Here is a 15599-nt window from a genome sequence, read left to right on the forward strand (position 1 = left end):
TGTGGACACCATGGAGATACATACACACATACACACAAACATATATATATATATATATATATATATATATATATATATATATGGTTATGGACATAGATATGGATATTTATGTGTATATATAGATATACATATGTGCATGTATTATATATATATGTTTTGTTTTTTTTTTCCATCTCTCCATTGGTAATATGGTTGAAAGTAGAACTTTCTCTTTTCCACCTCTGGCTTCTCATGAGGTCACCTATAAGGCTTGACACAGTCACATTGGCTTGACACTTTGTGTCTAGAAAGTTGAAAAAGTCACTGACTGTTTCAAATAATGAAAGTATATTCTCCCTCACAGTCTCAGAGGTGAAATCTGAAAAGTGAAACATTTACAGAGGCACAAGTTGATCTTTCACATGAAGGAGTCTAAAGTTGATAATGCAGTAGGGAATGCAGTCCTATTGTTTTTATTTTCCCCTTCCTGAGCATACATCCAGCTCAGCTGTCATGGGCACCTCTGATGCTCCCTGAGCAGGGATTTTAAATGACTCCACAGCAGACTGGTCTCTGACTGAATCATGTGCAACAAATCTTGGGAATTTTAGTTCATAGCAAGTAAATAGCACTGCTTTAGGGTAAAGACAAATTTTCATATTTGCTTGTTAGAATATTTTCATTTCTCTTATAAATCAAGTTGAACCAAAATGGTTTAGGATTATTTTCTGAGGAAATATGTTTTTGTGGACTTTTGGTCTATGGTCTTAATGATTCCTGCAGAGTCTGACATCTATACCAATATTTTGTCCACCAAAAAAGCAGCCAGCCTTGATGACTGAAAATTCACAGCCATGCGTGCTTGTCCTTAAGCAAAGACTGCTGGGGTGGGGAGAGATGAACAGAAGGTAATGAGATGTGTGTCCTTATCTGAAAATCACTCTATGTTCCCCTTCAAAAACCTCTTTTAAAAGTTTTTTTTTTTAAAGGTTGAGCTCTAATATAATGCTAACATTCATCACAAAACAGTATAATTGCCTCCTCCTACTGTAAACTCTAGCTTAGTGAAGCCAAATGCTGGGAATTGCTTTGCTTAGACTTATAAGATATAGAGGCCAATGGTCAGAAAACCAATTGACATCAGGGATTTAGCTAGTAAAACAACTTCCAGGGAATGGTCCTGGGTCAGATCCATTAAGGCTGATTGTTCACATGTTTTATGCCTTTCCATCTCCATCTGAAGTATAGTCACCTTTACAATGAGGACTTTAGGGGACTACACAGCCTTCAGTTGATAAAAAGTAACTCACATTTATGAAGGTTAAAAAGGGGGAAACGAGTTTTAAAACTTTTTACTGCAAATGGTGAAATAAAGTGGGTTTTCAGGTAAATCCTTAATTATTTTCTGGAAACACCCCATTCCCAGAGAATTTTAATTAGAGCCTTGACGTTAGTATTAATAATCATAGGCTTTATTTATGATATTCTACTTGTTAAAACTTTCCACTATAACAAACCAGGTCAACCTTCTGGTTGGCAGACTATTACCAATATTCTCTTGTAACAGAGTGTTGATGTCCAGCCTCCTAGAACCTCTGTTTGAAACACATTATCCTGCTTTTAAGCCTCAAATTATGGCCAACCCAGCCATTAGTGAAGGAAGGATGATGTTATTACTTACTTTCTAAAGGAAATAATATGTGGGAAATGGGAGAAGGTAAAAGACATTGCTGATTTATTTTTGGAGCACAAACTAAAGGAAGAATGGATTATCAGAGACTTCTTGCCTCTGCTGTGACAGTTTTGCCCCACCATTTGATATTAACATTCATGAAGAGCTATCTATAATTCTCTGGAGCCCAGGAGCAATATCCCTTCCCATCCAGGTAATCCATCACTCTGAAGGGTGGACAGACAATAGGAATGTATGTTTCCTTTATCGCTCCCTGCCAGTAGAGGAAATGACAGTCATACTGAAACTCTTTAATATCTTGCTTGATGTGTAGGAGTGGGTGGATTATTTACCCAGGTTCCTATTCTTCCCAGGGCATGGTCAGCATTCATCCTCTCTGAGATGTAGAGCACAAGAATAGGAGCATCCTTAGGTTGGAGCAAAAATGAATCTGTCTAAATCTGTGGTTACCAAGTAACATATGTATACAAGGTGGAAGGGTGATTGGATGGGGGTTTGCTTGTATATTACAGTCTCTGATATGGAGAATGCTGTATATTTTGCAAAATCATCACTACCACCACTGAAGTTGCAAAATACTAGTCAAGTCTGAGCAAGTATTGTTACTAGGAAAAATGGTTTTCTCCACTGAAGTCCTAGCAGTAACAAAAGATGAGACATTCGGGATTATCCCCTCTCCACAAAAAGCTGCTATGCTATATTGAAGACTGGAGAGATTATGCTTTCACTCAACTACATGCACAGAGCTAAGCATTTGATACATTGTAGGAGTTTGAAAGTTATACTCTGAATGATTAAATAAAGTTAGAAAGGTAATTATGGGGCCTCTGAATTGTCGTTCTTGTTACATGATTAAACTTGTCATGGTCTATTTCTGCCATTTCTTTTTATTGCCTCTTTTCTTTTTTCCCACTCATTTTTTTTTTTGTATTCACTGACTATAGTGTAATCACACTGTTGGAAACTAGCCTTAACCATGTGGTTGTAAAAGAAAATCCTTGGCAGGTAAGGAAATGGAGACTCAGTGAGGTGAATCCAAGGTGACTCATTTAATAAGTGTCAGAGTCAGGATTCTACCTGAGTTCTACATTCTAGACTTGTTATTTTTCTTCTTCCCTACACCACTGCCAGAGGATATTTATATGGTTTGTACTAAAAAAGTCATCATCTGTGAATTAATTAATGCATCTACTAAACAGGTATTGAAGAGCTCTTTGTATAATGCTGAGCACTGTGGATAAGATGAAGAAGACATGGTTTTCCTGAGGTTTGGAGAAACCACCTTCCAGCAGGGACTAAACTACAACACCTGGTAATATCATAAAGTGCTATGAGGACAGAGCCTTTAATTCTGCCTGTGGAGTCTGGGAGGCTTCACAGAGGGGGCAGCATTTAAAATCAAACTTGAAAAATAAATAGGAGTTTGTGGTGAAATGGTCTTTGCCATTTAACTATCTGGCATGACCCCAGGAAAACCAATTTAATTTTCTGATACTTAGTTCCCTGTCTGTCTCAAGATTGTTATGAAGATGAAATGAGATTTGAAAAACACTTTGAAAACCTGCAGATGACATTATAAGAAGTAGTTTCAAGAACTATGGATCCTAAGGATAAGAGATGAGGCCTGGTCCATTAAAAAAACAGGATGCATGCACTATTTCTAGAAAAAAAAAAAAAAAACAAGCTTTGATGCTATTGTTTGAAAAATCCATAGTCCTTACTGCAGCTGATATGGGTAGTTATCACTTTTCTATAACACACAGATAAGCCTCTAAGCAAGACTCAGGTAATTCCTAGGAAAACTGCCTGCCAATCAGGGATGGAAATCCATACTAGCATAGAGTAGTAAACGGCATGCCTTACAAATGGTCTTGGGCATCAGCTACTGGGAAGGGCTGTGCTTGGGATCTAACTCACAAAATATACATTTTTCAGGATAAATTCAGATCTACCATTTTATCTTCTTTTTTATCACTCAGGATAATTGATAGGAAAAAAGGTGCAGAAATATGTCCCCGGGCCACATGAGGCAAGGATGTCACGGTGAAGAGAATGTCTTAATAATAAAAAAATGCAAAGATGGGGGGAGCTAAAGCAGGCTGTTTTGCAGTCTCCAGATAATGGCGAATAATGATTTAAAACTTTGTCTTAGTTCTGTATTAGTCTGTTTCTGTTGCTATAAGGAAATGCCTGAGGCTGGGCAATTTATAAGTAAAAGAGGTTTATTTGGCTCACAGTTCTGAAGGTTGTACAAGAAGCATGGCACCAGTATCTGCATCTGATGAGGGGCTTAAGTTGCTTCCACTCATGATGGAAGGCAAAGGGGAGGTGGCATGTGGAGATCACATAGCAGGGAGAGATGGAGATGGGGAGAGGGAGAGACAGAGAGAGGGAGAGAGAGAGAGATGCCAGGCTCTTTTCAACAACTGGTTCTCACAGGAACTAAGAGTGAGAACTCACTCCTCTGAGGGAATGGCACCAAGCCGTTCATGAGGGATCTGTTCCTAGGATCCAAATACCTCCCACCAGGCTCTACCAGCAACACTGGGGATCAAATTTCAACGTGAGACTTGGCAGGGCCAAACTATCCAAACCATGGCACTAATTTTTCATAAATTATGAGCAGTGTCTAAACCCATCCTTTTCATGTTTGATGGATCAAATAGTAAAGGAATACACTGTATCACGGGTGTGTGTGTGTGTGTGTTCATGTAGTTATAGCCTAACACCATCTGTCTTTCTTCCAGGGTACTTCTTTTTGTGTATATGCTCTGTATAATGTTAGCTTACACATGATGAGCTACTAGTCCTGAATCAGTTAGCTACTGCCACATAACAAACCACTCTAAAGCTAAGTTGTTTAAAACAACCTCCATTTGTTGAACCGTGAGGAGACTCAGGTAGACTCCTCATGAGTCTACAGGTCTGTTGAATGGTTTTTCTGAACTATGCTGGGCTGTCTGGGATTTATATTTCTGTGGTCAGCTGTGTATCATCTAGGACAAAGCTGAGGTTACTTTGATGTCCAGAGGGGAGATTAACAGAGATATAGTTCTGTGGAGTAATCATCTGGGCTAAGGTTATATCTTCTCCATTACAGGGAGGTTAAATTTCTTATTAAAAGGAGTTGTAAAAGCAGGCATTATCTTAGTTTACATAGCCCATGCAGTGAACTAGATCATACTTTATGTGGACTGCTTTGTGAAGCTTCAGGAAGCCCCTTTTAGGTTCATCATTACTTTATTTATTTATTAATTTTGGTCTACCATAAAAGACAGTGCCTTTGAAACAGCTCCACAACTTAAGTGATTATCAATCATCAATTCTTCATGGTATGACCACTCTGGAAACTTGGTGGGGAACGAGGGGGGCACTGAAAGGTTAAGAAGGCACAAGACAGGAAGGTAAAGATGAAATTCAATCTGATTTCACAGTTTGGCCCTAAGGAATACCCTTAATAGACCCAACGACCTCTTATCAGCCTCAGTTTAGTCTTGTTTTGAAATTAAAGTTAAGAGGGTAGTTAGGACGTTTAATGAGACAGATTGGATGGATGTGATGGAGACTGGTGGAGAAAGATAGAAGAATCCTAGAGGAAAGCAGAGGCTGGCTAATGCCACAACTAGAGCACTAAGCTTGGGAACATTTAAAATTCTATTTCCTTTCTCCTCTTTTAAAAGAAAATTGTATGTTTAATAGGATATGTGTTAGTATTATACAAAAAAGGAAATAGCTGCTTCTTATAACTGCCTACCAAACCCCTCTAGTTATAATTTGGTTTCATAATTATATTAAATCAGGTTGTAATCCCTTAAAACTCAGCACCCTTTACCTGCTAATAGTGCAATCAGTCTAAATGCCATTTATAGTTAGTCTAGAGCTGAAAACAATATTTAAAACCAATTTTCAGTCTCAATTCATGAAAAAAACCCCCATCACTCTATCTTATTTATAATAAACTCATTCGAGTAGATCCAGTCACAATATAAACAACTGATGGAAAATCCCTAGGAGGTTTTGGCTCATACATTCTGAGCAGACATGCTCTGGAAAACACAGACATTCTCAGAAAACTGCAGTCTGCTGAAAATGCCAGGAGAGTTCAGGAGACTGGACTCTTCATTAGGCCTTGGCATGTTTCATTGTTTTTGCATAGGGAATGGTGTCAACACTTCTTATCTGAACATCTGTATGTCCAACTCTTTTTTTCTAATCCTGTTTCAAATGGACAAGATCTTAGGACACAAGAGAAGATGTGTGCTTGGGACAAAGGTATGTGGATGCTACAACGTGATCCAGATTTTCACCCATGACAGCCGACTCTTGGTGGGTTGAAAAAGGTGGTAAGGCAGTTTCCATGGAGGTCAGGCAGCATGTGAATGACAGCTCGATGTGATAGAGTAGTGAAAGTACAGAGGCTTTGGAGCTAGGTAGACATGCCTGAATTTTGACTCTACTATTACAAGCTGTGTTACCTAAGCAAACTTTGTAATCGTTCTGAGCTTCAGTTCCTTCATCAGAAAAATGGAGAAAAATGTATCTATCTCCAAATGTTGCTACGATATTTAGATAATATTACATCTTTCCTCCCTTCCTCCTTCCTTCCTGCCTTTTTTCATCCTTTCTTCCTCGATTTCTTTCATTCAACAACTATTTATTGAACACTGTGCCAGATGCCATCATTGTGCTGTCCATATTTCCTTGGATCCCTTTTTCATTTCTGTGCACATGACTCCTGGTGTGCTGTTACTCTCAGAAGCCAGCGTCTGTGTTGCATTGTCAAAGGTTTGCCCTCAAACTGACAAAGGCCCATTTTGCCTGAATAACTAAAAGTGCCTAGAAATTTACATCCCTCTGTGGGCATCCCTTAAAAAATGATTGATAGGTGGGAAGAAATAAATGCTCCAGTCACAGTTTCCCCTTATGGGGACCACTCTGAGGTGTGACCTAGACTCCAGAACTTGCCTATGGGATTGAGTCAAAGTTACTATCCTTGGGAATTAATGTACTATCCTTGCTTGATTTCCTTCCCTTCCTAGTCCCATTTCCCTAGATCCCTACTGGTTTCCTGAGAACACCTCCTAATAATCCATTTTCACATGAATTCTTATTTCAGAGTTTGTTTCTGGCAAGCCCACCCCAAGTCACACACCTTTCACATATTCCATATTCTTCTATGTGCTAGGAATGTATGAACGAGTCAGATATAGTCTTACTCTCATGTTTTATTAACTAGAAACACTGTAGTGAGAACCCATGTTAAATAGGTTCCCACGATAAAGACTGCATTTTAGACATTCTGCAGAATTCTACATTTCTTCTAGAGTGGAAAGAGTATAGGTTTCAGAGTTACAACTTCCAAATTTGTGTCCCTACTCATTCACATATCAGCTGAAAAACATTGGGTGGCTGCATTTGACTTACTGAGCCTCACTTCTTCCATTTAAATAAGTTTATTAGCACCTGCGGTTCCAGACTCATGGGATTTCTATAGGGAGCACTAACAGAATACGTAAAAAGCCTTTTGAAACAGGGCACATAACCCAAACTTTATCACTACCTGGAGATGTTACGTCAACAACAAGCAAGAGCTTTGAAAAATAAAAGTACATTGTGTCATTTTTTAGGAAATGTTACATATTTTATAAGGCACTGCTTTACATTTAACTTCAATGTTTTTATCTTTGCTGAATTAAACAAGTGTGATTTGGTAGGGTCAGTAACAACATCATAAGCTTGGTATGGTTAAAATGAAGATCAGGCTGATGCATAAAACAGGCAATGCTACGGGTGACAGCAAAATGTAAACACACGTCTTGGGGTTCTGCTGAGTGTAAAGCGTTGAAAAAGAACAGAGTAAGGAAGCAAGTCCCTTGAAGAATCCCTGCCCCTAGCATACCCTACCCACCTATCAGTGCCAAGGAATTAATAGCTGCCTCATGTAACTCCATCTTCTGTGGATGGACTGCCAATCATCCTGTCTCCTTCAATGCTGTAGAAAGATTCCCTTTGACATACTCCATCCTGATGTTAGAGAACCAGGCTCAACACTTTTTTGGGAATCCCTGTGCCTACATGATACTGCTTCTGGAAGCTAAAGCCCTGAGATGCCTGATTTGCTCTTTCCGGAGTTAATTATGTCCACACATAATTTTGATGGTAAAATCCAAAGTGGGTTAAGCAAAAGGAGATATTTCTTGAATAGATACAAGGATATCTCCAAGATCTTAAGGGCAATACCTACAATCAGGCCTCAGTAGGGACTGGAAACAGGACCTGGAAAGTCAACATAATTCAAGGCAGACCTCTCCTATCTGTATTCATATCTCTCTTTGGAGTATATGGTCTTTTATATCTTCTCATCTCTATTAGTGGCTTCTTTTTTATTATTCCTCAAGGCTGATTCTTCTGCCATGTTTATGCATGGAATGTCATAGCTGCCTCTAAATGGTGGCCTTTAGTCAAGTTTCTATCAGTTTATAAGATGACTGCCTATAGGTAGTTTTACTGACCTTTCTGTGTCCCAATACCGAATGGCGAAAGAGTTTTTTTTTTTTTTTTTTTTTTCTGCCAATATAGGTTCTGAATTGGTTTCCCTGAGTTAAGTGTCTACTTTTGGTCCAATTAGCTGTGGTCAACAAGTGGTGGAGACACGGCAACGACGTGGCTTCGGGGTCTCACTTCTCAGAGGGAGGAGGATTGATGAAGTGGAGCTCAGGATGGGCACATACTCTGAAACATTTACTACAGTGACTCATGTGTATTTCTTGGGTTGCTAGCTATGTTTCTACCACCCACGTTTATTTAGCTCTCAGAAGAAAAATCCCCACAAACCAAGCAGCCAAAGACAAGTTCAACAGAACCATCTGGACTCCACAAAATTTGACATCATATTGGCTTATCTTAAACCCATTCTTTTGAAACTTACAGTCTTCTGACAGTTGGTTCCCAAGCATGGAGGACTACATTTATATACAAAAGGGTACTATTAAGGCCTTTTACTAATATAGAATCTTTGATTATTCTGGTATATTTTTCAAACGGATTTCTAAAAACTTTTATTTCATTATATTCTTGGTATATTCCTGTGAATTTTGGTGGGACATCCATTTCAGTGAAGAATAAACAAGCCTGCATTGCTGTCAACTATTATATCAGCACAGAAATTGGCCTCATTAAAGCTGAGATGGGCTTTAATTTCTACAATCCGATGCATGTTTTATGGCTAAAGTAAAATAAGATATAAAGGAGAAAAGAAGGAGAAAGAGAATCCGCTTTTGTGGCTCCAACAGATCTTTCCAGTTGGTTTTCTCTTAAAGCCCTCTGGGTTGGGGGGCGGGAGGAAACACTATTTCTTTCCAGCAAGCTGCACTTGCAAGAAGCTATGGGAAGTTATTGTTCTCTACCAGAATGCTGCTGCTGCAAAAGATGAATCCAATCTTACAAGACAGCCAAGTTCTTTTGTCTTCACAGAAAGGAGCCTATAGGCCTAGAACCCGGCAGATGTGGTCATTTTAAAGAGCTTGGAAACTTTCAGGTGGGTTAAGATGTGACTGGGCTGTGGGCAGGACCATGGAATCAGCCATGCACATCATTCAGTTTTGGGAGTGGAGAGACTTTCTCACTTAAATCAAGGCTTTAAAATACAACATCTTCTACCTCAGGCAAAGCTTGGACAAAGTAGAGATGCTTTTTTGTGGCTTTGAAAGGAACAATAAACCCTGACAATTTTCTCCTAGGTATGATGACTCTTGCTCTTACTCTCATGAGGGCAGACCCGTGGAGACCAGAGGTGAATACAAGATTTTGTGAATCAGGGGTCAGAACTGGGCTTGTCCTGCCAAAGCTTGCATGGAAGTTGTCATGCTTGTTAGCAAGCTGTTTGAGTAGAAGCCTGGATCCTTTCCATCTGCCACTCCAGGTCCACCTTCTGCTTTTTTCCCATCCTGCTCTGTCCTAGCAGGTTGATTCTTATTGTCTGCTCCTATGGGTTCCCTGGCTTTTTAGCCCCTAGTTGATTTTGGCCAATGAAGCCCCAGGAAGAGCTAGGTAGGTAGGAGGAGAGGAGAATGAGATCAGGGTTTTTATTCCCTCATCTCCTTCCCTGCCCAGTCATTGCCGGTTGGCTGCTTCTACTGAAGGCTACAACTCCTGTTAGATTGCCTGTGCCCTTGCCTTCTCAGGCATAAGAGTCGTAACAGCTTCTTTATACGCTATTCCCAGAGTACTGGATTATCCATTGTTGGGTTCCTTTTAATAGTCCTTTGTTAAGCTCACACCATTTGAATGTGCCCGTCTCTTTACTGCCAGGCTCCTGCTATGCAAGTAGGAATAATGCTCACCTCTCAGGGGAGGAGGATTGATGGCTTCCTCTCGCCATATCTGCTTCCAGCACTCTAACCTGCTTCATGTTCAGACAAAAAAGTCAACCAATGTGGTATTTTTTTCAGGAATACTGGAAGGATGTTCTGCAAAAAATACCTTCTATGCCCCACTTCCCTTGTAATGTCTTTATTAGGAGATTAAATCTTTCATTCTATTTAGAGATAAGGTTTTAATTGCAAAGATCCTTAGGAGAGGCATCATATCCCATTCAATAGTTTAAGAATAATTGAGAGGATTAACATTAGGTTCTAGATATTGAGAACAAAAAGGTTGTCCCTGATCTCAAGGAGTTTATACTGTAGGCCAATAATTGATACTAAATTCTTTCTTGAGGATTCAGGGGATCATAGCAGATGGGAGGCAGGACTAGATTGCAGCTCCAGATAGAGCAGCACGCGGAGGCTTACATTGTGAAGCGGAGGCTTGCATTGTGAATTTTAGCTCCAGATCCACTGCAGGAAGAAACCAGCAATCCCAAGAGAACCCACAGACCCTCTGAAGGAAACGGACTGCTCCTGCAGGGCCCGAGAGACACCCCAAATACTGTGAGTGCCCCAATTGTGAAGGTGGGAAAGGGAGACTGCCTCTCCCGAATCACTAGAGAAGCTGAAGGTCTGTTTGCAGGAGAAGTTTCCAACTTTACCTGGAGCTGAGTCAAGTTAGAGAGAGGAGTGAAATACAAGGGCAGAGGAAGCAGCAGAAAGGCCCTGGGAGCTCGCTGGGTCCCCAAGCAGCCCATTCCTGCCTGGCACCACAGGGATCCATTGGGAGGGTGGCCAGAGGAACAGGGGGTAAAACTCCACAGGGAGAAGGAATTCTCTAGCTGAACTTCGTAACAATTTGAGCGAGGAGAGAAGCCTCCTAGCCAGAACTTGGGGGAGGGCACAAATTGGGTATGCAGACTTCACAGGCAGAGGAAGAACTAAAGCCCTTTTCTCTCACAGCTGGGAGGCACATAGCCTGGGGCAAGTTTTCAAGTCAATCTTGCCCTCCACCTGGAAAAAGACTTGGGGCTGTTGGTGGGGGGCACAGTGGGAGCGAGACTGGTCCTTCAGTTTGCATGGGAGCTGCGTGAGGCCTGTGACTGCTGGCTTTCCCCCACTTCGCTGACAACCTGCATGACTCAGCAGAGGCAGCCATAGTCCTCCTAGGTACACAACTCCAGTGACTTGGGAATCTCACCCCTATCCCCCACAGCAGCCGCAGCAAGACCCACCCAAGGAGAGTCTGAGCTCAGACACACCTAGCCCCACCCCCACCTGATGCTCCTTCCCTATCTACCCTGGTAGTAGAAAGCAAAGGGCACATAATCTTGGGAGTTCTAGGGCCCCACCCACTGCCGGTCCGTCTCCACACTACTACAGCTGATGCTTTCTGGAAAGCGTCACCTCCTGGCAGGAGGCCAACCAGCACAAAAATAGAGCGTTAAACCACTAAAGCTAAGGAACCTTGCAGAGTCCATTGCACCCTCTGCCACCTCCACTGGAGCAGGTGCTGGTATCCGTGGCTGAGAGATCCATAGACGGTTCACATCACAGGACTCTGTGTGGACAACCCCCAGTACCAGCCCAGAGCCAGGTAGACTTGCTGGGTGGCTAGACCCAGAAGAGAGACAACAATCACTGCAGTTCGGTTCACAGGAAGCCACATCTATAGGAAAAGAGGGAGAGTACTACATCAAGGGAACACCCTGTGGGACAAAAGAATCTGAACAACAACCTTCAGCCCTAGACCTTCCCTCTGACAGAGCCTACCCAAATGAGAAGGAGCCAGAAAACATGGTTCCTGAATTCCAGAAAGAATTCAGGAGGTTAGTTATTAAGCTAATCAGGGAGGGAACAGAGAAAGGTGAAGCCCAAAGCAAGGAAATCCAAAAAATGATACAAAAGTGAAGGGAGAAATATTCATGGAAATAGACAGCTTAAAGAAAAAAACAATAAAAAACTCAGGAAACTTTTGACACACTTTTAGAAATGCGAAATGCTCTGGAAAGTCTCAGCAATAGAACTGAACAAGAGAACAAATAAATTCAGAGCTCGAAGACAAGATCTTCTAATTAACCCAATCCAACAAAGAAAAAAGAGTAAGAAAATATGAACAAAACCTCCAAGAAGCCTGGGATTATGTTAAATGACCAAACCTAAGAATAATTGATGTACCTGAGAAAGAAGAGAATTCTGAAAGCCTGAAAAACCTATTTGGGGGAATAATCAAGGAAAACTTCCCTGGCCTTGCAAGAGACCTAGACACCCAAATACAAGAAGCACAAAGAAGATCTGGGAACTTCATCACAAAAAGATCTTCGCCTAGGCACACTGTCTTCAGGTTATCCAAATTTAAGACGAAGGAAAGAATCTTAAGAGCTGTGAGACAGAAGAACCATGTAACCTATAAAGGAAATCCTATCAGATTAACAGCAGATTTCACAGCAGAAACCCTACAAGCTAGAAGGGATTGGGGACCTATTTTCAGCTTCCTCAAACAAAACAAGTATCAGCCAAAAATTTTGTATCCAGTGAAACTAAGAAACATATATGAAGGAAAGATACAGTCGTTTTCAGACAAACAAATGCTGAGAGAATTCACCATTACCAAACCACCACTACAAGCACTGCTAAAAGGAGTCCTAAGTCTTGAAACAAATCCTGGAAACACATCAAGACAGAACCTCTTTAAAGCATAAATCACACAGGACCTATACAACAAAAATATAAAAGCAAAAACAAAAAACAAACAAAAAACCAAAGTACACAGGCAACAAAGAACACAACGAAAGCAATGGTACTTCACATTTCAATAGCATCATTGAATGTAAATGGCCTAAATGCTCCATTTAAAAGATACAGAACTGCAGAATAGATAAGAACTCACCAACCATCTGCTGCCTCAGGAGACTCGCCCAACACATAAGGACTCACATAAACTTAAAGTAAAGGGGTAGAAAAAGGGATTTCATGCAAATGGACGCCAAAAGGAAGCAGGGGTAGCTATTCTTATATCAGACAAAACAAACTTTAAAGTGGGCAAATTCAGGTTCTCCGGCACCGTAGTGGTAGTCGCTGGCCCAAGTTAGAGGCCAACTGAGAAGTCTTCGTGCCTTAGATTTGTTGACCTACAGAATGCTTCAATATCCATATTTTTGTAGAATGTATAAAGAATGTCTTTCATGTTGTTTGGAATCTGGCATACCTAATTTAGGTGTCTGGCCAAAAAGAATACATACTACAGCAGAAAAATATAAAGAATATGAAGCCCAGGAGCAAACAGATCAAACTCAAGCCCAGGAGTTAAACAGATCTCAAGATAGAGATTTTGAAACTATTGGTAAATTACATATTCCAGCAATGGTGGATGAAGTTGTTCATTGTTTGTCACCACAAAAAGGACAGGTTTTTCTAGATATGATATTTGGTTCAGGAGGGCACACAAAAGCTATTCTACAGAAGGAGTCAGATGTTGTTCTGTATGCCTTGGACAGAGACGCAACAGCTTCTGCATTAGCTGAACATCTTTCAGAGCTGTATCCTAAACAAATCCGAGCTATGCTGGGCTAGTTCAGCCAGGCTGAAGCCTTATTAATGAAGGCTGGAGTGCAGCCAGGGACTACTGACGGAGTTCTTATGGATCTTGGGTGTTCCTCCATACAACTTGATACTCCCGAAAGAGGGTTTTCTCTTCAGAAAGATGGCCCCTTAGACATGAGGATCATGATGATGGATGGTGGCAGGTACCCTGACATGCCCACTGCTGCTAATGTTGTGAATGCTTTAGATCAACAGGTACTTGCATCTATCCTAAGAACATATGGGGAAGAGAAGCATGCCAAGAAAATCGCTTCAGCACACAGCATCTACCCCATCACCAGAACCAAGCAGCTTGCCAGCATCATCACAGGAGCATTTCCTCCCTCTGCTATTTATGCACGAAAAGACTTGCTACAATGATCTACTCATATTGCCACCAAGACTTTCCAGGCTCTTTGCATATTTGTGAACAATGAGCTCAATGAACTCTACACAGGACTGAAGACAGCTCAGAAGTTTCTGAGACCTGGTGGTTGCCTTGTTGCCCTCTCCTTCCATTCACTACAGGATTGCATCGTCAAAAGATGTTTGCTTAGAATAAGCACGACAGAAAGGTTTAACCTAAGTGTTAGACAGCAAGTGATGAAAACACTGCAACTGGGTTCAGATCACGAAAACACGGAAGAAGTCTCTATGAGAAGAGCTCCTTTAATGTGAGAATTGATACACAAGAAGGTACTTAGTCCACAAGATCAGGATGTACAAGATAACCCTAGAGGGTGCTCAGCCAAGCTTAGAGGAGCTATCAAATTATAAGTCACCATCATCTTATTCTTCAAATTTTTTTCTCACAATTTCTCTAACCTTCACTCGTGTTATGTTCCTGAACACCTTGATATAGGTTTAAGTGTGGGACAGTCTGAAAAGTGATAGCATTTAGCATTTTTTTCCCCTCAAAAAGAAACTGTAGGAAATATTACCATGAAAGTTCCACTCAGGGAGCAGCAGCATCTCAAGACTGGAAAAATGTGTTAATCTTTACATTGGACTCTTGAAATGCAGTCCTTCCTCTGGCCAGGAAATTTTATTTAAATAATACTATGTTGTGTTTATCTAAATATGTAAACCCAAGCTGTCAAATCATACCTGCATGTCCTAAATTTTGAACTTAGATATTTGCAACAGTCTTTCTCTGGCTCAAATGATGATGATTATGGATGAATTTTAACGTCCCTACTTGTGAATAATTACTATAGCTTTGTCAAATGTAGGCTTTTTACAAATTTTAAATTTTAAAATATTAGTTTACGTGTTATACTGATAAAATTTCATTTTTCAAATTATAGTCTATTATTTCAAAGAGATTTTTCAGTACGATATGGGCCATTTTGTTCATATATAGCAAAGTAAAAATGTAAAATCCTTACAGCGAATTGTTTGACAAAACTTATATTTCATGTCAATTTATTTAATAATAGCTCACAATGCCTTTAGTACATAATAAAGTCTTTTATTAGAATCTTATATGTTTTAATTGAGCTAATCAAAATAATTCAGCCAAGTCTATTCGAAATAGAAAACTATTTAATATAGTAAAATCAATGCTCCCTTAACGGTGTTACAAAGATATGGTAACTGTAATAAGGGTAAAAGTTTATTCAAGAAAAGAGTACTTGGTAGAAGATTCTTTAACAAATTGATGAGATTGATTCATAATTCACATGTCAACTTTTTATATGTAATATGTACTTCTAATTTATTCAGTTATTCATCAATAACTGAAAGCAAAGTAAAAAGGTAAAATCAAGCAAGTACTGAACTTGTCATTAGAAAAGCAAAGGTAAGTACAATATACATGGCCCACAGTACATGTCCTATAGAGTTTAGTAGAGGAAAATTATGTTAATTATAATCACAAAAATCAATATAAAATGGACATAGTGGCAAATACTACAAACAAGTCGTACTTGGTACTGTAAGAGCATCTAGTAAGGATTTTATCTGTTGTCAGAAACCAG

General features: G+C 40.1%; 1 long non-coding RNA gene and 1 pseudogene across 1 annotated transcript in view, besides 1 other annotated feature; one reads left to right on the forward strand and one right to left on the reverse strand.

The window, feature by feature from the left end:
- Positions 1-15599, reverse strand: part of PTCHD1-AS (PTCHD1 and PHEX antisense RNA) — a 1100142-nt gene that overhangs the window by 229417 nt on the left and 855126 nt on the right. The window lies entirely within an intron of this gene.
- Positions 10432-11631: an enhancer, noted in NCBI's record as "CDK7 strongly-dependent group 2 enhancer chrX:22450970-22452169 (GRCh37/hg19 assembly coordinates)". NCBI's record gives its function as "activates an origin of replication core promoter dependent on BRD2, BRD4, P300/CBP, MED14 and CDK7 cofactors, with strong dependence on CDK7, by STARR-seq in HCT116 cells {active_cell/tissue: HCT116}" and the evidence as "EXISTENCE:reporter gene assay evidence [ECO:0000049][PMID:35650434]".
- Positions 13080-14594, forward strand: METTL15P3 (methyltransferase like 15 pseudogene 3; annotated as a pseudogene).

The sequence above is a fragment of the Homo sapiens genome, chromosome X (assembly GCF_000001405.40).
Source record: "Homo sapiens chromosome X, GRCh38.p14 Primary Assembly".
NCBI lineage: Eukaryota > Metazoa > Chordata > Mammalia > Primates > Hominidae > Homo > Homo sapiens.